The sequence below is a fragment of the Homo sapiens genome, chromosome 1 (assembly GCF_000001405.40).
Source record: "Homo sapiens chromosome 1, GRCh38.p14 Primary Assembly".
Classification (NCBI taxonomy): Eukaryota; Metazoa; Chordata; class Mammalia; order Primates; family Hominidae; genus Homo; species Homo sapiens.
The window spans coordinates 36,190,717-36,214,819 of record NC_000001.11 but is presented as its reverse complement, the minus strand read 5'-3'; the positions used below and the strand labels follow the sequence as shown (position 1 = coordinate 36,214,819).

The following is a 24,103-nucleotide window of genomic DNA, read 5'->3' as shown; positions in this document are numbered from 1 at the left end:
TGGCGTGATCTCGGCTCATTGCAATCTCCACCTCCCGGGTTCAAGCGATTCTCCTGCCTCAGTCTCCTGAGTAGCTGGGGTTACAGGCATGTGCCACCATGCTCGGCTAATTTTTTTGCATTTTTAGTAGGATGGAGTTCACCATGTTGGTCAGTCTGGTCTTGAACTCTTGACCTCAGGTGATCCACCCACCTCGGCCTTCCAGAGTGCTGGGATTACAGGCATAAGCCAATGAGCCTGGCCCACATTTCCTTTTTTAAAGGATTACTATGGTACAGTGTGAGAACGGATTAGGGCAAACCAGAGTGAAAGTGGGGAGACCAGTGAGGAAGTTATATCACAGTATTCCAGATGAGACGAGACAATGGCATGGTCTAGTGTATTCTCAGTGGGGATGAAGAAAAGTGGGAAGATTCAAAAAACAGAGGACATTTAGGAGATCATATCTACTGGTCTTGGTGACTGGCTGGCTGAGAAAGGGCAGGAGTCAAAGTCGACCCCCAGGTTTCTGGCTTGAGCAGCTAGGTACTACCTCCCTAGCCCATGCTGCTTATACAGGTCTCACCACACTCATCACAATGTGTTGAAATCACCCATCTGTGCCACCTACGGAGAGCCAACTCCTGAAAGGCAACAACTAGTTTGTTCTTTGTCTTCCTAGAACCCAGCAGTTGGCTAAGCACGGAATTGACAGCAGTAGGTGTGTCATGTATGGACTTTCCTTAGTTTTTTCCTGTTTCTGTTAGGAGTTGTCTTTCTTTCTTTCTTTCTTTCTTTCTTTCTTTCTTTCTTTCTTTCTTTCTTTCTTTCTTTCTTTCTTTCCTTTCTTTCTTTCTTTCTTTCTTTCTTTCTCTTTCCTTCTTTCTTTCTTTCTTTCTTTCTTTCTTTCTTTCTTTCTTTCTTTCTTTCTCTTTCCTTCTTTCTTTCTTTCCTTCTTTCCTTTCCTTCTTTCTTTTTCTTTCTTTCTTTTCTTTCACAGAGTTTGGCTCTTGTTGCCCAGGCTGGAGTGCAATGGGGCAATCTCAGCTCACTGCAACTTCCACCTTCTGGGTTCAAGCGATTCTCCTGCCTCAGCCTCCTGAGCAGCTGGGATTACAGGCGCACGCCACCATGCCCGGCTAATTTTTTGTATTTTTAGTAGAGACGGGGTTTCACTATGTTGGCCAGACTGGTCTCGAACTCCTGACCTCAGGCGATCCACCTGCCTCAGCCTCCCAAAGTGCTGGGATTACAGACGTGAGCCACAGCGCCCGGCCAGGAGTTCTTCTGTCTTTCTGATCACCCAGCTTCAAAATCTCAGAGGAATCTTGGCTTCCTCCTTCTATCTTATCTGCCATATTACATCAGTCACAACATCCACTGTATTCTGCCCCCAGAACATCTACTGAATCTTCTACCATCCTGTTTTAGGCCTTTACATGTCTCAAAGAACAGAACATGTCTTAGAACAGTGCCTGGGCCAAAGTTAGGAATATGAAGTGTTGGCTATGATAAGATCTCCCAGGCCTCTCTCTCCATCCAAGCAGAGAGGCATCCTACAAAAGGTAGTCAGAGGGTTGTTCCTCAAGTACAACTCTGATCCTATCAACCCCTGTCTCCAGTGCCCTCAGGATCAAACCCTAAACCCTCAGTGTAATCTACAAGGCCCTGCATGGTATAACCTCTGATGATCTCACCAGCTTCACCATCACCTTCCAAGGCCCTCCATTGCCATCAGAATGAAAGACAAGCTCTAAACCTCTAGCATCTGGCCTCCATGTCGTACCAGCCTTAGCTTCTTCATACACAGTGTTCCAGTCATGTGTTCTTGCCTTGACCATACTCTGGACTTCCTGCTTCCTCATTCCTGCTCATGCCCTTCCTCCCCAGCAGCCCCACCTATCAAAGGCCTATCTCATCAGTTCAGAATCTGCTTCTTTTAGGAGTACTCCAACACCAACTGCGTTTGTCAGACTCTGCCTTGCATTGTTGTAATTTCTGCACATGGTATCCCTCTGCTGACCTAGGAGCAGAGTGGCATCTGTTGCTCTGCCAGTTCAGCACCTTCCACTCCTCTTCTTCTGGTAGCAGCACTCTGATAATCCATTGTAAAGTTGTCCCTGCTGGGTGTGGTGGCACATGCTTGTAATCCCAGCACTTTGGGAGGCCAAGGTTGGTGGATCACTTGAGGCCAGGAATTCGAGACCAGTGTGGCCAACATGGTGAACCCCATATCTACTAAAAATACAAAAACTGGCCGAGCATGGTGGCACGCACCTGTAATCCCAGCTACTCGGGAGGCTGAGGCAGGAGAATCGCTCGAACGCAGGAGGTGGAGGTTGCATTGAGCCGAGATCGCGCCACTGCACTTCAGCCTGGCCGAAAGAGCAAGACTCAGTCTCAAAAAAAAAAAAAAAAAAAAGAAAGAAAGAAAAGAAAAAAAGAAAAGCTATCCCTCCCCTACTCTCACTTCAAGGTGAGCAGGTGACTGGCTGATAAGTACATTTCATTTCCTTGGCCCCCAGTGATTGGCAGGTGGCTTAAACTGGGATAGCAGATGGAATGAGCATTAGCCTGAGACCGTGGCTGAACCACTGAGGAAAGGGCCCTCTCTTTCTCCTGGCATTGCTAAACTGGAAAAGCACCAACCTGGACTTGTTAATGGTCATCTCTGCCACCATTTAGAGGCAGCCATCCTGAGAATTAAGCCAACACAGCTGGAGAGCAGAGCATGAGTTGAGAAACACATAATCCCAGCTATACCAGTTAAGCTCTTGGATTCAGCCACGCCTGACATTAGCAGCACCTATGGACTTTTCCATGCCATGAGCCAATAAATGAGTTGGTTGGGGTTGGATTTCTTCTACACTGAAGTCATGACTAAGAGAGGAGTTGTTAGAGCTATCTCTTGTGTACAAGAGGCTCTCAGGACAGAAAGGAAGCTGGAAAGGGAAATCAGTAGAGACTGGAACCGGCAGCATTGTCTGACCCTCTATGCTTGAAGGGCCACCTATGGAAGAGAGGAGCAGTTAACTTTGCCATTGCTCAGACTGACCAAGGGGGCGTCACCTCCATCTCTGCTTTCCAGAAGCAAACCAAACACTCTAGTCAGGGGAACAGTGGCTTGTTTGCTACTGATCATTGGCAAGAAGCAGCCCCTCATTGCTGAGCTTGAGCAGAAAATGGTTACTCCCTCACCAGTCAGTGGGTATCCACCCTCAGGAATACCCTAGTCTAGCGGTTACTAAGCTTGTTTTGATATTGGAGTAATCTCAGGATGTTTGCTTTTTTGTTGTTTGTTTTGAGACAGGGTCTGGCTCTGTTGCCCCAGCTTTAATGAAGTGGTACGAATATGGCTCACTGCAGCCGCCACTTCCTGGGCCCAAGTGATCCTCCCACCTTAGCCTCCCAAGTAGCTGGGACTACAGGCATGCACCACAAAGCTCTGCTAATTTTTTGATTTTTTTTTTTTTTCTTTTTGAGACCTGGACTCACTCTGTCTCCCAGGCTGGAGTACAGTGGTGTGATCACAACTGACTGCAGCCTTGACCTCTTAGGTTCAAGCAATCTTCCCACCTCAGCCTGCCTAGTAGCTGGGAACACAGGCGCGTGCCACCAGGCACAGTTAATTTTTTTTTTTTTTAATAGTGACAGAGTCTCTCTATGCTTTCCAGGCTGGTCTCGAACCCCTGGGCTCAATCCTGGGCTCAAGTGATCCTCCTGCTTTGGCCTCCCAATGTGTTGGGATTACAGGAGCGTACCACTATGCCCGGGTTTTTAATTTTTTTTTATGTGGAGAGAGGGTCTCACTTTGTTGCCCAGGCTGGTTTCAAACTCCTGGGCTCAAGCAATCCTCCCTCCTCGGCCCCCCAGAGTGCCAGGATTACATCATGAACCACCACACCTGGCCCATCTCAAGATGTTTTTAAAATTCCAACACTTAGACCACATCTCAAACTAAGCAAATCACAGTCTCTGGATGGATCACAGGCATCACTATTTTTTTGAAGTTGATTCAGGTGATTCCAGTGCACAGATAAATTTGGGAACCACTGCCAAAGGCTCCCATCTTTTTGTTTCCAAAGCTGACACTTTATATATATGATATATATATATATATATATATATATATATATACTTTTTTTTTTTTTGAGACAGAGTCTTGCTCTGTCATCCAGGCTAGAGTGCAGTGGAGCAATCTGGGCTCACTGCAACCTCCACCTCCTTGGTTCAAGCAATTTCCCTGCCTCAGCTCCCGAGTAGCCGGGATTACAGGCGCACGACACCACATCCAGCTAATTGTTTTGTATTTTTAGTAGAGACAGGGTTTCACCATGTTGGCCAGACTGGTCTCGAACTTCTGACCTCAGGCAATCTGCCCACCTCGGCCTCCCAAAGTGCTAGGATTACAGATGTGAGCCACTGTGCCCAGCCTATAATTTTAAAATAATTTTTTTCTTTTTTTTTTTTTTTTTGAGATGGAGTCTCGCTCTGTCGCCCAAGCTGGAGTGCAGTGGCGCTATCTCCGCTCACTGCAAGCTCCGCCTCCCGGGTTCAAGTGATTCTCCTGCCTCAGCCTCCCGAGCAGCTGGGACTACAGGTGCCTGCCACCATGCCCAGCTAATTTTTTGTGTTTTTAGTACAGACGGGATTTCACTGTGTTAGCCAGGATGGTCTCGATCTTCTGACCTTGTGATCCTCCCGCCTCGGCCTCCCAAAGTGCTGGGATTACAGGCGTGAGCCACTGCGCCCGGCCAAAAAGAAGTTTTTAAACACTCTCAATTCACTGGGGACCAGAAAAAAACCAGTGTATGGACCACACTTTGTTTTGAGTAGCACTGTTCTAGAAGATACTTGCAGCCCCTCCCACTTCCCTCTCTACCTCCACCTGTGGAAAAGCAGGATGTGGCACCCACTAACTGTTGCCACTCTTTTTCCACGCTTGACTCCAAGCAAGTTCCTTTTGCAGTTGGGATGTCCCCTTTGGGGTGGCAGTGAATGTAACATCACTGACTCCTCTCAGAATTAAATTGGATAGTGGTAGGCCCCTGCAAAGCCAGTTATTCCCAGGAAAGTCAAAGGTCAGTCCTCAGAGGATCCATCCAGGCCCTGCTGAGGACTAGGATTCAGATTTTAGAAGCTGCTTCCCCAGCCCCTCTTGCATCAGAAGCAAGAGCCTGGACCTCACTGATCTATCTCCTCCAAGCTACTTGCTGGCACGTTTTATTTACTCCTAAGACCTGCTTTGTTGAAACAGGCACTTTATTATCTGGTCTAATTCAGTGTTTCCCAACCAGGGACAATTCTATCCCCCAGAGGATATTTGGCAATGTCTGGAGACATTTGTGGTTGTCACAACCCCGAGCATGGGGGAGTACTGCTGACATCTACTGGGTATTGAGGCCAGGGATGCTGCTAGACATCCTACAATGCGCAAGACAAATCCCTCACAACGAAGAATAATCCTGCTCAAAATAGCAGTAGTGCCAAGGTTGAGAAACTCTTCATCTTGCTTAGAGAGGAAAAGTTCAGTAACACTAAGCTTTAAAATATGATTATGTTGGGCCAGATGCAGTGGCTCACTCCAGTAATCCCAGTGCTTTGGCAGGTCAAGGTGGGAGGATCACTTGAGACCAGGAGTTTGAGACCAGCCTGGGCAATATAGCAAGATCCCATCTCTACAGAAAATTTTAAAATAAGCCAGGCATGGTATCAGTGTGCCTGTAGTTCCAGCTACTTGAGAGGCTGAGGTGGGAGGATCACTTGAGCCCAGGAGTTCGAGGCTGCAGTGAGCCACGATTCCATCACTGCACTCCAGCCTGGGCAACAGAGCAAGACTGTCTCTGAAAAAAAAAAAAAAAAAAAAAAAAAAAAGGCTGGACATGGTGGCTCACGTCTGTAATCCCAGCATTTTGGGAGGCCAAGGCAGGCAGATCACTTGCACTCAGGAGTTCAAGACCAGCCTGGCCAACATGGCGAAACCCCGTCTCTACAAAAAGTACAAAAATTAGCTGGGCATGGTGGTGCATGCCTGTAGTCCCAGCTATTCAGGAGGCTGAGGCGGGAGAATTGGTTGAAATCGGGAGGTGGAGGTTTCAGTGAGGCGAGATCGTGCCACTGCATACCAGCCTGGGGTAAAAGAGCGAGACTCCATCTTAAAACAAACAAAAAAAATTATTATGTTGGTTACATGGACATGCCAAAAAGAAAACTACACAATAAAAAGAGAATATTACTATGGTTTATTCAGTAATAACTAACATAATTCTGTTGTTTTGCAGTTCCTCAATAAATTCGTGCTTTCCTTCCCCCACCTTCTTTACACCGGGGGGCAGAGGGGTGATGGAGATAGTGGTGGGGGAGGCTGCAAAAGGTAGATTGGGGTGAGATGGAGATGAGAGGTGAGGTCAAACAGCCGGAAAAGCACACAGATTTTGATGCCAGATCTGACTTCACATTCCCACCCTTGACTACTGCTTTAGCTGTGTGCCTTCAGGCAAGTGACTTATCCTCTCTGAGCCTTAGTTTTCTCATCCATATGACAACTCTTACCTTACAGGGAAGGTCCAGGCACTCAGCCATTAACAGGACTTCATCCTGAGGCAGTGGGAACTATGAGAGGAAGCTCAGAGAGCGTGGGGGAGGCTGTCAGCTTTGGGTGCTCACATGGGCAGCCTGGAGGGGAGCCGACTTACCCTCACAGTGCCTGTGTTTAGTCTCCTTCCAGGTAGGCTAAGAAGTCTTTCTTGGCTGGCTGCGGTGGCTCATGCCTATAATCCCAGCACTTTGGTAGGCTGAGGCGGGTGGCTCACCTGAGGTCCGGAGTTCAAGACTAGCCGGGCCAACATGGCGAAACCCAGTCTCTATTAAAATTACAAAAATTAGCCGGGCATAGTAGTGGGTGCCTGTAGTCCCAGCTAGTCAGGAGGCTGAGGCAGGAGAATCGCTTGAACCCGGGAGGCTGAGGTTGCAGTGAGCCAAGATCGTGCCACGGCACTCCAACCTGGGCGACAGAGTGAGACTCTGTCTCAAAAAAATAAAAATAAAAAAAGTCTTCAGTCTTTCTTGAAGTCTAGCCAGAATGTCTCCTTTCCTAGCCTGAACTCCTCTTTTTGTTTAGTTCAGAGCCTCAGGTGGTTGTTGCTACTAGCCTGGTCTGTCAATGCAGCAGAGAAACGTCTTGAGGTTGTAATTTGCATTTTGGTCTCCTTGCTGCGAGTGTTTACTCCTTCCTGCCTGGGGTGGGGACTGCGGTTGTTACAGGCTTTGGGATTGCCAGGCCAAAAGCAGAGGTTGCCAGGCACCAAAAGACATCCCCCAGCCAGGGCTCTTGTTTACCAAGGCCCAGCTCCAGGAGCCGGTTACTATGCTGGGTTACTCCACAGCACAAGGCTCCCAGCTTGGGAGGGGCGGAAGCGGGACCCATCAGGAAGCCTTGATGAGTCTTCCCAAGCCAGAGAAAGTGAACATGGGTCTGGGTGTCTTTGATGCTGCTGTTGTCTTTTCTTGAATAATAGCAACTTTGCACCACTCCCATTCAGATCTCCCAGGACCTCTGCTAGGCACAAAGTTGCTGTTTGTGGGGAGGGGACGGATGTGGGAGCACGAAGTGGTCTTGGGAGTCACAGCAACAGGCCTCTATGGCTAAGCCAAACCGATCCAAAAGGATAGAATTGACTGAAGACCAGCGAGTCTTTCTCTAAATATTCAAGACTGGATAACTCCCCAGGAATTATACTCAGGGCTTCAAAGGGGTGGGGGCAATATAAAAAATTTAATTATGGCCAGGTGCAGTGGCTCATGCCTGTAATCCCAGCACTTTGGGAGGCTGAGGGCAGATCACTTGAGGTCAGGAGTTCGAGACCAGCCTGGCCAACATGGTGAAACCCCATCTCTACTAAAAATACAAAAAAAATCAGCTGGGCGTAGTGGCGGACACCTGTAATCCCAGCTACTCGGGAAGTTGTGGCAGGAAAATCACTTGAACTTGGGAGGCAGGGATTGCAGTGAGCCCAAATCGCACTGTTACCGGTTGGAGGTGTCTAGGTTCTTGGCGTCTTGAACAAAGAATTGGATAAAACACACAAAGCAAGGAAAGGATGAAGCAACAAAAAAAGAGATTTATTGAAAATGAAAGTACACTCCACAGTGTGGGGGCAGGCTGACAAAGGGGCTGAAGAGCCCTATTACAGAATTTTCTGGGGTTTCAATACTCTCTAGAGGTTTCCATTGGTTACTTGGTGTACCCCTATGTAAATGGAAAGGATATTTCCTGTCATAGCTGAAGTGTTTCCATTTGATTTAGCTCTAGGAAGTCAGTGTGAATCAGCCTTAGGTTTCCTGCCTCTAGACCCTATTCTCCTGCCTCAGCACCACTGCACTCCAGCCTGGGAAACAGAACAAGACTCCACCTAAAAAAAAAAAAATTAATTATAAACTTAAAATTTAATATAGCATATTCAAGGCCACTAACACTCAAAGTGCATCATGTCCTAATTACTTTCCTACATTTTACTTTTTTTTGAGACGGAGTCTTGCTCTGTTCCCAAGCTGGAGTACAGTGGCGCCATCTCAACTCACTGCAACCTCTGCCTCCTGGGTTCAAGCGATTCTCCTGCCTCAGCCTCCCGAGTAGCTGGGAATACAGGTGCACACCACCACACGCAGCTAATTTTTGTATTTTCAGTAGAGACAGGGTTTCACTATGTTGCCCAAGATGGTGTCGATCTCTTGACCTCGTGATCCACCCGCCTCGGCCTCCCAAAGTGCTGGGATTACAGGCATGAGCCACCAAGCCTGGCCTTTTTTTTTTTTTTTTTTTTTTTGAGACAGAGTCTCGCTCTGTTGTCCCGGCTGGAGTGCAGTGGTGCCATCTCAGCCCAGTGCAACCTCTGCCTCCCGAGTTCAAGCAATTCTGCCTCAGCCTCTCGAGTAAGTGGGATTACAGGCATGTGCCACCACATCTGGCTAATTTTTTTTTTTTTTTTTTTGAGACAGAGTCTTACTCTGTCGCCCAGGATGGAGTGCAGTGGTACCATCTGGGCTCACTGCAACCTCCATCTCCCAGGTTCAAGCAATTCTTCAGCCTCAGCCTCCTGAGTAGCTGAAATTACAGGCTTGTGCCACCACACCCAGCTAATTTTTGTATTCTTAGTAGAGACAGGGTTTTGCCATGTTGGCCAGGCTGGTCTTGAACTCCTGACCTCAGATGATCTACCCACCTCAGCCTCCCAGTGCTGGGATTACAGGCATGAGCCACCACACCTGGCCCAGTTTACTATTATCAATCCTTTTAAAGTTGTTGGCATCTGCCGGGTGAATACCCTGTGTGACAGTGTGCCATTGCTCACTCCTCCCTGCTCCACCTGCACTGACATTATGTTGGCAGCTTGAAATTGGCCATGGTGGGAGTGTTTACATCATGGAAGTTGGCAAATGTGACAAATCAAGTCCCTCCCTAATGCACCCCAAACCATTTGTAAACATTCACCAGCACACCACTGGGTAGAGATTCCCAAAACATGACTGTGATTGAATTTCTCACCAGCCAGCCTGGCAGGGGGTTTTTGGAGCAGATCATCTGGTTTAGAGAATTAAATATATGGGACAATTCTTTTTTTTTTTTTTGAGACAGAGTCTTGCTCTGTTGCCCAGGCTGGAGTGCAGTGGCGCGATCTCGGCTCACTGCAAGCACCGCCTCCCGGGTTCATGCCATTCTCCTGCCTCAGCCTCCCGAGTAGCTGGGACTACAGGTGCCCGCCACCACGCCTGGCTAATTTCTTGGTATTTTTAGTAGAGACGGAGTTTCACCATGTTGGCCAGGATGGTCTCAATCTCCTGACCTCGTGATCCGCCCGCTTCAGCCTCCCAAAGTGCTGGGATTACAGGTGTGAGCCACCATGCCTGGATAAATGGGACATTTCTTACATCTAAGCATCATGGAATAAAATGCATATTTGTTACCTGTATCTTGTCCAGACATACTTGGGGGCCCATCTCTTCTTCCTCCCTTAGAGACGAGAGTGCACACCCACTCATGAAACACCCCTAGCACATCCCAAAACACACCTGGGATGCCTTTTGGGTGGAATAAGAACAGAAGCTCCATGAGGGCAGGGACTTCGTTACTGCTGTACCTAGACTGCTCTTCAGTCTCAGTGGCTCTCCTAGTTTCCCCGGCTTCTGACTTAGGGCAACTTAAGCCATGCTAGAGCCAGGGGGCCCTGTGCACACGGGCCGAAGGGAGAACCAGCCAGACACCCTGGGGTAGCCTCTTCTCAAGAACATGAACCTACCTGGGGACAGTTCTCAGTCAGGAGCAATCCCTTCCCAGGAAACATCCGGCAATATCTGGAGGCAGTTTGGATTGTCACAAGAGCAGAGGAGTTGGGGGAGTGCCAATGGCATGTGGTGGATAAGGGCCAAGGAGGCTGCTAAACATCCTACAGGGCACAGAACACCCCCCACCCACCCACCCACCCCCACCATCCAAGATTATCCTGCCCCAAATGTCAACAGTGCTGAGGTTGAGAAAGCCTGGGATAGGGACACAGCGGAGGGGAACTCAGACAGGACGGGGTCAGAGAAGAGACAGGAAAAGGTCAGCCTGCCCTGTAGCTACTGAACCCTCCCTCCCCACAACCCCCTTGCTCTGTGTGGGCCTTTGGTCTCTTCTTTTGTCTCCCGCCCTGCTTCTCTCCTCTATCTCTTTGGTGTTGTCCCTGTTTATTTCTGTTTATCTCTCGGTCTCCATTTCTCACTCAGTTGTGCCATCCACTCTGGCTGGATCCCTGTGTTCTGAGACGTGAGACAAGCCTTTGGCATTTGTACTCCTTCACCCACACTAATCACTCCAGCTGCCTCGGCCTGGGAGCGGAGCCAGGAGGTTGACAAAGGGGGGAGGGTACAAAGAGGGGGGTTGGGGGTAGGGGGTAGCACACACTCCCTGCTATCCTCACCACTCTTCTTGCCCTAGTTCCTGGGGCCCCAGTGTCTGCCAATGAGAGCCCTAGAGATCCAGCCACTGTCTTTCTCTCGCCCTCCAGGGCCTGGGACCAATCCAGCATGCCCGAGTGGCCTTGCCCTGCCCACTGACCTCTTCCTCCTTACCTCACCCCCTGGTTCCTTAAATTTCCCCTCCAGCCCAGTCCAGCAGCTGTTACAAAACAACTGGGGGCTGGGCATCTCCTTACCCCTGGCCCTGCCTTGGGTGACTGCCACTTAGCCCAGCACCCTCCGCCCAGAGATAAGGGACCTATGGTCTCTGCTCTGGTCCTAGTTTTTAGGACCCAGAGATCACTGCCCTGAGCCAGGAAATGATTTCTTGTGTTAGGACCCAGTGCTCAGTGTCCAGATTCAATTGCCAGTGCCTGTCCCCAGGACCCAGGACTCAGCCCTTTGTGCCTGAGGCCAGAGCTGCCTGCCCTCTTCCTACCACACACCTCGCCTGGCAGAACGTGGTGGCCTAGGCTGCTGTGTTTTAGGGGTGGGCATTGTGTGAGACCAGGAACCCTTCAGGTGACATTGCAGAAAAGTCTGGTGGCAATTTTTAAAACAGAAAGTTGAGGGACTTTTGGCCAGGCATGGTGGCTCATACCTGTAATCCCAGCAGTTTGGGAGGTTCAGTCAGGAGGAGTTCAAGACCAGCCTGGGCAACATAGTGAGATCCTGTTCCCATCACTGTTTTTTTTTTTTTTAAGATTCCATTCCTTTTGGGAGGCTGAGGCGGGCAGACCACTTGAGGTCAGGAATTCAATATCAGCCTGACCAATCATGTTGGTTTTAGTCTCTACTAAAAATACAAAAATTAGCAGACATGGTGGCAGGCGCCTGTAATCCCAGCTACTTGGGAAGCGATTCAAGGAGAATCGCTTGAAGCCGGGAGGAGCAGGTTGCAGTGAGCCAAGATCGCGCGACTGCACTGTAGCCTAGGCGACAGAGTGAGACTCCGTCTCAAAAAAAAAAAAAAAAAAAAAAAAAAGTGTTGTAATCCCAGCACTTTGGGAGGCCGAGGCAGGCAGATCTCCTGGGGTCAGGAGTTCGAGACCAGCCTGGCCAGCATGGTGAAACCCCATCTCTACTAAAAAATACAAAAATTACCTGGGCATGCCCGGGCGCAGTGGCTTACACCTGTAATCCCAGCACTTTGGGAGGCCAGGGCTGGTGGATCACGAGGTCAGGAGATCAAGTCCCATCCTGGCCAACATGGTGAAACCCCTTCTCTACTAAAAATACAAAAATTAGCTGAGCGTGGTGGCATGTGCCTGTAATCCTAGTTACTCTGGAGGCTGAAGCAGAAGAATTGCTTGAACCAGGGAGCCAGAGGTTGCAGTGAGCCGAGATCGCGCCACTGCACTCCAGCCTGGCGACAGAGCAAGACTCTGTCTCAGAATAATAATAATAATAATAATAATAATAATAATAATAATAATTAAATTGAGGGACTTTTTTTTTTTGAGCCGGAGTCTTGCTCCTGTCCCCCAGGCTGGAGTGCAATGGCACGATCTCAGCTCACTGCAACCTCCACCTCCCACCTTCAAGCGATTTTCCTGCCTCAGCCTCCCCAGTAGCTGGGACTACAGGCGCCCACCACCAAACCTGGCTAATTTTTGCATTTTTAGTAGAGACAGGGTTTCACCATGTTGGCCAGGCTGGTCTCGAACTCCTGACCCCGGGTGATCTGCCTGCCTTGGCTTCCCAAAGTGCTGGGATTACAGGCATAAGCCACCACACCCGGCCTTTTTTTTTTTTTTTTTTTAATTGAGTCTTGCTCTATCACCCAGGCTGGAGTGCAATGGCATGATCTTGGCTCACTGCAACCTCTGCCTCCCAGGTTCAAGTGATTCTCCTGCCTCAGCCTCCCGAGTAGCTAGGATTAAAGGCCTGTGCCACCAGGCCTGTCTAATTTTTGTATTTCTACTAGAGATGGGGTTTCACCTTATTGGCCAAGCTGGTCTCGAACTCCTGACCTCAAGTGATCTGCCTGCCTTGGCCTCCCAAAGTGGAGAAATTTTTAAAGTAATATAAACCATTCTCCAGCATGGCCAACATGGTGAATCCCCGTCTCTACTAAAAATACAAAAATCAGCCGGGCATGATGGCTCATGCCTGTAATCTCAGCTACTCAGGAGGCTGAGGCAGGAGAATTGCTTGAACCTGGGAGGTGGAGGGTGCAGTGACCCGAGATCATGCCATTGCCCTCCAGCCTGGGTGACAGAGTGAGACTCCATCTCAAAAAAAAAAAAAAAAAAAAAAAAAAAGGCGTGGTGGTGCATGCCTGTAATCCCAGCTACTCCAAAGGCTGAGTGAGCCAGGAGAATTGATTGAATCCAGGAGGTGGAGGTTGCAGTGAGTCGAAATCATACTACTGCACTCCAGCCTGGTGACAGAGCGAGACTCCATCTCAAAAAAAATAAATAAATAAAAGAAAAGAAATCATTCAAGATAAAATTTGGGGAAGAGTCTAGCAGTATAGTCAGAAGAAGAAAAGTCAGTGGGTATAGTTGCCAGATAAAATACAGAATGCCCAATGCAAGGTGAATTTCAGGTAAACAATAAATAATTGTTTAATGTAAGTATGTCCAATGCCATATTTGGGACATACTAAAAAATTATTTATTGGTTTTCTGAAATCCTCCTTTATAACAGGGACCTGTGTTTTGATGTTTGCAATCCAGCAGCACTGTCCAGATATATCTTCCAGGTTATTTTCCAGTAGCTTTAAGTGGGGAATTGGAGTGTTTCTCTTTTTTCCCCCCTTTTTCTGTTGAGAAGGGTCTTGCTCTGTCCCCCAGGCTGGAGTGTAGTGGCAAGATCTTGGCTCACTGCAGCCTCGACCTCCTGGGTTCAAGTGGTTCAAGTGATCCTCCCACCTCAGCCTCCTACGTAGTTGGGACTACAGGTGCGTGCCACGATGCTGGGCTAATTTCCTGATTTTTTTGCAGAGACAGGGATTAGCTATGTTGCCCAGGCTGGTCTCGAACTCCTGGGCTCAAGCGATGCTCTCGCCTCAACCTCCCAAATTGCTGGAATTACAGGTGTGAGCCACTGCGCTCAGCCCCCAGTTCTCAGTGTTTCCTTCCAGGCACTTTTTACTGCCACAGCTTCTTAACTGGCTCCCTGTCTCCAATCTTGCCCACCTGCTGCCACACCCTGGCTGGCTGGTGCTTCACCTGCAGTCATATTACCTCCCGACTGAAAACCCTTCTGTGGTTTTCCATGCCACAGGAGGAAGAACAAGCATCCCAGCCTATCAGGATACAAAGCCCTCAGTGCCTGATTCCTGCCCAGCTTCCGGGACGTTTGGCAACATCCCTGCCTGCCTCACACTGCACCAGAAAAATGCTTCTTCCCTGTTAGTCTCCCCAACTCCTGCGATAATTCTGGCTCCCACGTCTTGCATTTCTCTCCATCAGCTATGTATTATACACAGACAGCACCTACTGCATGCCAGGCACTGGGCTAGGGAAGGACACAGTGGAGAACACAACAAATGTTCCTGTTCTTCTGACTCATATTTTGGCAGAGGCGCATTTAATAGATAAACAGTTACAATGAGGTGTTTGTTGTGCTAGGGTAGGTAAAGAACACTGGGGTTTAAGAAGGTCTCCTGGAAAACATGATATTTAAGATTTGAACAGTCATCAGCCAACTAAAGTGGGACAGCAGGAGAGAGCGTTCCAGGCAGAAGGAACAGCTTGTGCAACGGCCCTGAGGCTCGGAGAGGAGGTGAGGAGGCAAGTCCAGGAGGGTGGGAATACAGAGAAGAGAGGAAGAGAGCGACAGGGTGAGGAAGCCCCCAGGAAGCCGCCAGACAGAATGTGCCTTTTATTCTAAGAGCAATGAGAAGGCCCCGGGAGGAATTTAGGCAGGGGAGTGTCCTGAACAGGCTTGTGGCTACTGTACGGAGACTAGATTGAAGACCTTGTTTCTCTTTTCAGGATGGCAGAAATGATAGCAGCCTGGGTTAGGGTGAGGGCACTGGGGACGGAGTCACAGATATGTCAGAGATGTCAGTTTTGGACTTGTTGAGTGGTGACACTAGCAAGACATCCAGTTGATGTGCTGTCAACCTCAGGAAAGAAGTCTGGACCTGAGAGATTCTTTTTTTTTGAGACAGAATTTCGCTCTTGTCGCCCAGGATGGAGTGCAATGGCGTGATCTTGGCTCACTGCAACCTCTACCTCCTGGATTCAAGGATTCTCCTGCTTCAGCCTCCGAAGTATCTGGGATTACAGGCATGAGCCATCACACCCGGCTAATTTTTTGTATTTTTAGTAGAGACAGGTTTTCACCATGTGGGCCAGGCTGGTCTCGAACTCCTGGCCTCAGGTGATCCACCCCCACCGCCCCACCACCTCAGTCTCCCAAAGTGCTGGGATTATAGGCGTGAGCCACCGTGCCTGGCCTGGACTGGATGGATTCTTACTTGAAAGCCTAAGATGACATCAGCTTAAAGATGACAATGAGGCTGGGTGCGGTGGCGCATGCCTGTAATCTCAGCACCTTGGGAGGCCGAGGCGGGTGGGTCAGGAGTTCGAGACCAGCCTGGCCAACGTGGTGAAACCCAGTCTCTACTAAAAATACAAAAATTAGCCAGGTATGGTGGCGCATGCCTGTAATCCCAGCTACCTGGCAGGCTGAGACAGGAGAATTGCTTGAACCCTGGAGGTGGAGGTTGCAGTGAGCCAAGACCATGCCATTGCACCCCAGCCTGGGTAAGAAGAGTGAAACTCCATCTCAAAAAAAAAAAAAAAAAGACAATGAATGCTATTTACCACTTATTGAGAACTTACTGTTGGATCTTTATGTACATTTACTTATTGATTCCTCACAACAACCCTATGAGGTATGTGCCTTCACTCTTGCCATTTTACAGATGAGGGAACAAAAGGTTGTGTGCAGGTCGGGTGCAGTGGCTAATGCCTGTAATCCCAGGCAGTGCCTTGGACAACATAAGACCAAAAAACAGTTGTGTACAGTAATCAAAGTTACACAGTAACTAAGTGCCAGAGCTAAGGTTCCAACTCCAGTAGTCCAGCTCCGGATCTATGCTCTTAACCACACCATACAGCCTCTCACCAAGGCAATAATTTAAGTCCTCAGAATTGATGTGATTAATTTCAGAACTGTGAGTAAGAAGAGAAAATGATCAACCCTGAGGAATACCAGCATCTAGCCGTGTGCGGTGGCTCGCACCTGTAATCCCAACACTTTGGGTGGCCGAGGCAGGTGGATCACTTGAGGTCAAGAGTCTGTGACCAGCCTGGCCAACATGGTGGAAACCCAGTCTCTACTAAAAATACAAAAAATAGCCGGGACTGGTGGTGTGAACCTATAATCCCAGCTACTTGGGAGGCTGAGGCAGGAAAATTGCTTGAACCCAGGAGGCAGAGGCTGCAGTGAGCCGAGATTGCCCCACTGCACACCAGCCTGGGGGACAGAGCAAGACTCCATCTCAGACCAAAAAAAAAAAAAAAAAAAAAAGCATCTAAAGCCAAGGTGGCAAACAGGTGGCTCAGGGGTTGAATTCTGCTCTCTTTTTTTTGAGATGGAGTCTCACTCTGTCACGCAGTCTGGAGCACAGTGGCGTGATCTCAGCTCACTGCAACCTCCGCCTCCGGGGTTCAAGTGATTCTCCTGCCTCAGCCTCCAGAGTAGCTGGGATTATAGGTATGTGCCACCACGCCTGGCTAATTTTTGTATTTTTTAGTAGTGACTGGGTCTCACCATGTTGGCCAGGCTGGTCTCGAACTCCTGACCTCAAGTGATCTGCCCGCCTTGGCCTCCCAAAGTGCTAGGATGAATCCTGCTCTTGAACAAGTTTTCACAGAAGTGAATTTTTAAAAATTAATTGCCATACAAAAATGAACCCAAAATGATCAAAGACCTAAACTTAAGAGTTAAAACAATAAAACTCTTAGAAGAAAACAGGGGAAGGCCAGGCATGGTGACTCATGCCTGTAATTCTAACGTGTCCGGAATTGGTGGGTTCTTGGTCTCACTGACTTCAAGAATGTAGCCGTGGACCCTCACGGTGAGTGTTACAGTTCTTAAAGGTGGCGTGTCTGGAGTTTGTTCCTTCTGATGTTCAGATGTGTTCGGAGTTTCTTCCTTCTGGTGGGTTCGTGGTCTCGCTGGCTCAGGAGTGAAGCTGCAGACCTTGGCGGTGAGTGTTACAGCTCTTAAGGCTGCGCGTCTGGAGTTGTTCGTTCCTGCCGGTGGGCTCGTGGTCTCGCTGGCTTCAGGAGTGAAGCTGCAGACCTTCCCGGTGAGTGTTACAGCTCATAAAGGCAGTGTGGACCCAAAGAGTGAGCAGTAGCAGGATTTATTGCAAAGACCGAAGGAACAGAGCTTCCACAGTGTGGAAGGGGACCCCAGCGGGTTGCCACTGATGGCTGGGGCAGCCTGCTGTTATTGTCTTATCTGGCCCCCACCCACATCCTGCTGATTGGTAGAGCTGAGTGGTCTGTTTTGACAGGGCGCTGATTGGTGCGTTTACAATCCCTGAGCTAGACACAAAGGTTCTCCAAGTCCCCACCAGATTAGCTATATACAGAGTGTCCACACAAAGGTTCTCTAAGGCCCCACCAGATTAGCTATATACAGAGTGTCGATTGGTGCATTCACAAACCCTGAGCTAGACACAGGGTGCTGATTGGTGTATTTACAATCCCTGAGCTAGACATAAAGGTTCTCCACGTCCCCACCAGGCTCAGGAGCCCAGCTGGCTTCACCCAGGAATCCCGCGCCAGGGCTGCAGGTGGAGCTGCCTGCCAGTCCCACACCATGCCTGAGCCTCCCACCCCCTCTGTGGGCTCCTGTGTGGCCCGAGCCTCCCTGATGAGTGCCACCCCCTGTTCCATGGTGCCCAGTTCCATCGACCACCCAAGGGCTGAGGAGTGCGGGCGCACGGTCTTGGCCAGCCCAGAAAGGGGCTCCCACAGTGCAGCCGTGGGCTGAAGGGCTCCTCAAGTGCTGCCAAAGTGGGAGCCCAGGCAGAGGAGGCGCCGAGAGTGAGCGAGGGCTGTGAGGACTGCCAGCACGCTGTCACCTCTCACTAACACTTTGGGAGGCTGAGGCGTGAGGATCACTTGAGCCCAGGAATTCGAGACAAGCCAGGGTAACATGGTGAAACACCATCTGTACAAAAAATACAAAAATTAGCCAGGCATGGTGGTGCATGCCTGTAGTCCCAGCTACTTGGGAGGCTGAGGCAGGAGGATCACTTGAGCCTGAGAGGTTGAGGCTAACGTGAGCTGTGATCACACCACTGTACTCCAGCATGGGCGACAGAGTGCGACCCCATCTCCAGAAAAAAAAAAAAAAGGACTATCAAGAGAATGAAAAGACAGCCGGGCACGGTGGCTCACGCCTGTAATCCCAGCACTTTGGGAGGCCAAGGCGGGTGGATCACGAGGTCAGGAGATCGAGACCATCCTGGCTAACATGGTGAAACTCTGTCTCTACTAAAAATACAAAAAATTAGCCAGGTGAGGTGGCAGGTGCCTGTAGTCCCAGCTGCTTGGGAGGCTGAGGCTGGAGAATGGCATGAACCTGAGAGGCGGAGCCTGCAGTGAGCTGCGATCGTGCCACTGCACTCCAGCCTGGGCGACAGAGCAAGACTGTCTCAAAAAAAAAAAAAAAAAAAAAAAAGAGTGAAAAGACAACACACAGTGTAGGAGAAAATATTTGTAAATCATATCTGATAAGCAATTAATATCCACACTATATGAAGAACTCCTGAAACTCAACAACACAAAAACAACCCAATTAAAAAACAGGCAAATGACAATTTAAATAGGCATTTCTCCAAAAAAGATACACAAATAGCCCATAAACACAGGAAAAGATGCTCAGTATCACTAATCGTTAGAGAAATGCAAATCACAGGCTGGGGGTGGTAGCTCATGCCTGTAATCCCAGCACTTTGGGAGGCCACGGCAGGCAGATCACAAGGTCAGGAGCTTGAGACCAGCCTGGCCAACATAGTGAAACCCTGTCTCTATTAAAAATACAAAAAAAATTAGCCGGGCATGGTGGCAAGCACCTGTAATCCCAGCTACTCGGGAGGCTGAGGCAGGAGAATTGCTTGAACCCGGGAGGCGGAGGTTGCAGTGAGCCGAGACCGTGCTACTGCCCTCTAGTATGGGCGACAGTGCGAGACTCTACCTGAAAAAAAAAAAAAAGAGAAATGCAAATCACGGCCACTATGAGAAACCACTTCATACCCATTAGGATGGTTATCATCATCCCAAGGAAACAAAAACCAGTGTTTTTGAGGATGTGAGGAAACTGGAATCTTTGTGCATTGCTGGTGGGAATGTGAAATGATACAGCCATTATGGAAAACAGTATGGCAATTTCTCAAAAAATTGAAAATAGAATTACCATATGATCTAGTAATTTCATTTCTGGATGGATGCCCAAAAGAATTAAAAATAGGGACTTGGACAGATATTTGCACACGCATGTTCACTGCAGCATTATTCACAGTAGCCCAAAGGTGGAAACAACCCAAGTCCCCACAGACAGAAGAATGGAAAACACGATGTGATATATACGTACAATGGAATGTTATTCAAACTTAAAAAGGAATGAAATTCTGACACATGCTACAACACCGGTAAACCTTGAGGACATTATGCTGAGTGAAATAAGCCAGTCACAAAAAGACAAATATTGTATGATTCCACTTACATGAGTTACCAAATTAGTAGTCAAAGTCATAGAGACAGGATGCTGAGGCGGGTGGATCACTTGAGGTCAGGAGTTCTAGACCAGCCTGGCCAACATGGTGAAATCCTGTCTCTACTAAAACTACAAAAATTAGCCGGGTGTGGCGGCAGGCACCTGTAGTCCCAGCTATTCAGGAGGCTGAGGCAGGAGAATCGCTTGAACTCGAGAGGCGGAGGTTGCAGTGAGCTGAGATCGCACCACTGCACTCCAGCATGGGCGACAGAGCGAGACTCCATCTAAAAAAAATAAATAAATAAAAATAAAAAAGTGAAAAAATGAAAAGGATAACTTTAACTTTTTTTTTTTCAAGACGGAGTTTTGCTCGTCACCCAGGCTGGAGTGCAGTGGCGCAATCTTGGCTCACTGCAACCTCTGCCTCCCGGGTTCAAGTGATTCTCCTACTTAGTCCTCCCGAGTAGCTGGGATTACAGGCGTCTTCCACCACGCCCAGCTCATTAACTTTAACTTTTAAATATATTATTTAAATTTGGTAAAACACTTCATGTTTGAATTAAAATTTGCTCTTTCTTTTTTTTTTTTTTTTTTGAGACTGAGTTTTACTCTTGTTGCCCAGGCTGGGGTGCAGTGGCGCGATCTTGGCTCACTGCAACCTCCACCTCCCAGGTTCAAGCAATTCTCCTGCCTCAGCCTCCCGAGTAGCTGGGATTATAGGCATGTGCCACCACACCTGGCTAATTTTTTGTATTTTAGTAGAGACAGGGTTTCACCATGTTGACCAGGCTGGTCTCAAACTCCTGACCTCAGGTAATCCACCTGCCTCGGCCTTCCAAAGTGATGGGATTACTAAAATTTGCTCTTAGCAAACAAAAATATTACACTTTTCAGTTCTCACTGTTTTCAATTTTAAACACAAACTTTTGGTCATCATTGAGTTTTTTTGTTTTGTTTTGTTTTTATCTTTTTTTTTCTAGGCTGGAGTGCAGTGGCAGGATCTTGGGTCACTGCAACCTCCGCCTCCCGGATTCAAGTGATTATCCTGCCTCAGCCTCCCGAGTAGCTGGGATTACAGATGTGCGACACCACGACACCATACCTGGCTAATTTATGTATTTTTAATGGAGACAGGGTTTCACCATCTTGGCCAGGCTGGTCATAAACTCCTGACCTCAAGCAATCTGCCTGCCTCGGCCTCCCAAAGTGCTGGGATTACAGGCATGAGCGACTGCGCCTGGCCCATCATTGAGTTTTAATAATACTTGTAAGTTTTAAATTAGCACAAGACCCAGGTATGGTGGCTCACCCCTGTAATCCTAGCATTTTCAGAGGCCGAAGCAGGAGGATCGCTTGAGCCCAGGAGTTCAGACCAGCTTGGGTAACATAGTGAGACCCTGTCTTTACAAAAAATTTAAAAATTAGCCAAGTGTGGTGGCACGTGCCTATAGTCCTAGCTACCTGAGAGGCTGAGGTGGGAGGATCGCTTGAGCCTGAGAGGTTGAGGCTGCAGTGAACTATGATCACACCACTGCGCTCCAGACTAGGTGACAGAGTGAGCCTCTGTCTCGAAAAACAAACAAATAAATAAATAAATTAGCACAAGTGGTCACATAGAATTGAAGTAACTTAAGTTTTGTTTCTTTACCTTTAAAATCACTGTGTCATCATTGCTTATTCTGCAATAACTGCTTAATCTCAGGAATATGTTGCATCATGGAGTTGGAGACCCCAACAGAGCTCAAAGCCAGCTTGAATGATTCCAAACTATGAAAAAATTACTTTCAAAATGAATATGTGTAGCTGAGTCTGTGTGTGTCAAGAGGCCAGTTATACAAGTGGGATTTCTCCCAACTGACTTTGGCACACATGTTTATTAAAAGCTAAATACGGGCTGGGCGCAGTGGCTAATACGTGTAATCCCAGCACTTTGGGAGGCCAAGGTGGGTGGGTCGCCTGAGGTCAGGAGTTCGAGACCAGCCTGACTAACACAGTGAAACCCCATCTCTACTAAAAATACAAAAAATTAGCTGGGCATGGTGGCATGCGCCTATAGTCCCAGCTATTCGGGAGGCTGAGGCAGGAGAATCGCTTAAACCCAGGAGGCGGAGGTTGCAGCGAGTGGAGATAGCACCACTACACTCCAGCCTGGGAGACAGAGCGAGACTCTATCTCAGAAAAAAAAAAAAAAAAAAAAAAAGCTAAATACAATTGGCCCTGTGTATTGTGTATTCGGGAGCTTTGCATCGGTGGATGCCACCAACTGTGGATAAAAAATATTTGGGGCCAGCCGGGCGCGGTGGCTCAAGCCTGTAATCCCAGCACTTTGGGAGGCCGAGGCGGGCGGATCATGGGGTCAGGAGATCAAGACCATCCTGGCTAACACGGTGAAACCCCATCTCTACTAAAAATATAAAAAATTAGCCGGGCGTGGTGGCGGGCGCCTATAGTCCCAGCTACTTGGGAGGCTGAGGCAGGAGAATGGCTTGAACCCGGGAGGAAGAGCTTGCAGTGAGCCGAGATTGTGCCACTGCACTCCATCCTGGGCGACAGAGCGAGACTCCGTCTCAGCAAACAAACAAACCAACAAACAAAAACATATTTAGGGCCAGGCATGGTGGCTCATGCCTGTAATCCCAGCCAAGGGATTTAATTGGGAGGCCGAGGTGGGTGGATCCTGAGGTAAGGAGTTCAAGACCAGCCTGGCCAAGATGGCGAAACCCCATCTCTACTAAAAATACAAAAATTAGCCGGGCATGGTGGCAGGCACCTGTAATCACAGCTACTCGGGAGGCTGAGGCACAGAATCGCTTGAAGCTGGGAGGTGGAGGTTGCAGTGAGCCTAGATCGTGCCACTGCACTCCAGCCTGGGTGACACAGCAAGACTCTATCTCAAAATAAATAAATAAACAAATAAATAAACAAATAAATTAGCCAGGCTAATGGTGACATGTGTCCATAGTCCCAGCTACTCCAGAGGCTGAGTCAGAAGAATTGCTTGAACCAGGAGGCGGAGGTTGCACTGAGCCGAGATAGTGCCACTGCACTCCAGACTGGGCAACAGAGGGAGACTCCTCCTCCTTTTTTTTTTTGAGACGGAGTCTCACTCTGTCGCCAGGCTGGAGTGCAGTGGCACTATCTCGGCTCACTGCAACCTGTGCCTCCCGGGTTCAAGCAATTCTCTTGCCTCAGCCTCCCGAGTAGCTGGGATTACAGGTGCGTGCCACCACGGCCAGCTAATTTTTTGTATTTTTAGTAGAGACAGAGTTTCACCATGTTGGCCAGGGTGGACTCCTCAAAAAAAAAAAAAAATTGGGGAGGGCTGGGTGTGATGGCTAACACCTGTAATCCCAGCACTTTGGGAGGCCACGGCAGGCAGATCACTTGAGGTCAAGAGTTCAAGAACAGCCTGGCCAACATGGTGAAACCCCATCTCCACTAAAAATACAAAAATTAGCCGGGCATGGTGGCACACACCAGTAGTCCCAGCTACTCAGGAGGCTGGGGCAGGAGAAACACTTGAATCCTGGAGACAGAGGTTGCAGTGAGCCGAGATCATGCCACTGCACTCCAGTCTGGGCAACAGAGTGAGGCTCCACCTCAAAAAAAAAAATGGGGGAAAAAAACTGAATAAAATATAACGATACAACAATTAAAATAATACAAATTTTAAAAATAATACACTATTTACATGGCATTTACATTGTATTAGGTATTATAAGTAATCTAGAGATTACAAAGTATACAGGAGGATATACATAGATTATATGCAAATATGAAGCAATTCTTTTTTTTTTTTTTTTTTTTTTGAGACAGAGTCTCACTCTGTCACCCAGGCCGAAGAGCAGTGGTGCGATCTCGGCTCACTGAAATCTCCACCTCCCAGATTCAAGAGATTCTCCTGCCTTAGCCTCCTGCATAGCTGGGATTACAGGCGCACGCCACCACGCCCAGCTAATTTTTGTATTTTTAGTAGAGACGGGGTTTCACCATGCTGGTCAGGCTGGTCTCGAACTCCTGACCTCAGGTGATCCACCCGCCTCGGCCTCCCAAAGTGCTGGGATTACAGGCGTGAGCCACCGCACCTGGCATATTAATAAATTTTCTATCAGAGACTTGAGCATCCAAGGATTTTGATATCCCTAGGGTCCTGGGACCAATCCCCTGAGAATACAGTGGGACAACAGTAATAAATCTGTGCTAATTTTTTTTTTTTTTGAGACAGAGTCTCGCTGTATGCCCCAGGCTGGAGTTCAGTGGCGCTATCTCAGCTCACTGCAACCTCTGCCTCCCAGGTCCAATAGATTCTCCTGCCTCAGCCTCCCAAGTAGCTGGGATTACAGGCCTGCACCACCATGCCTGGCTAACTTTTTGTTTTTTTAGTAGAGACAGGGTTTGGCCATGTTGGCCAGGCTGGTCTTGAACTCCTGGCCTC

At 48.6% G+C, this 24,103-nt stretch overlaps 1 protein-coding gene and 1 pseudogene across 1 annotated transcript in view; both read right to left on the bottom strand.

The window, feature by feature from the left end:
- The window catches only part of THRAP3 (thyroid hormone receptor associated protein 3), a 97,721-nt gene extending 90,538 nt beyond the window's left edge, over positions 1–7,183 (bottom strand). The window contains exon 1 of the mRNA XM_047436227.1: positions 6,675–7,183. The gene's annotated coding sequence lies outside the window, so the exon portion shown is untranslated. The remainder of the gene's footprint in view (positions 1–6,674) is intronic.
- RN7SL131P (RNA, 7SL, cytoplasmic 131, pseudogene) lies at positions 22,650–22,905 on the bottom strand (annotated as a pseudogene).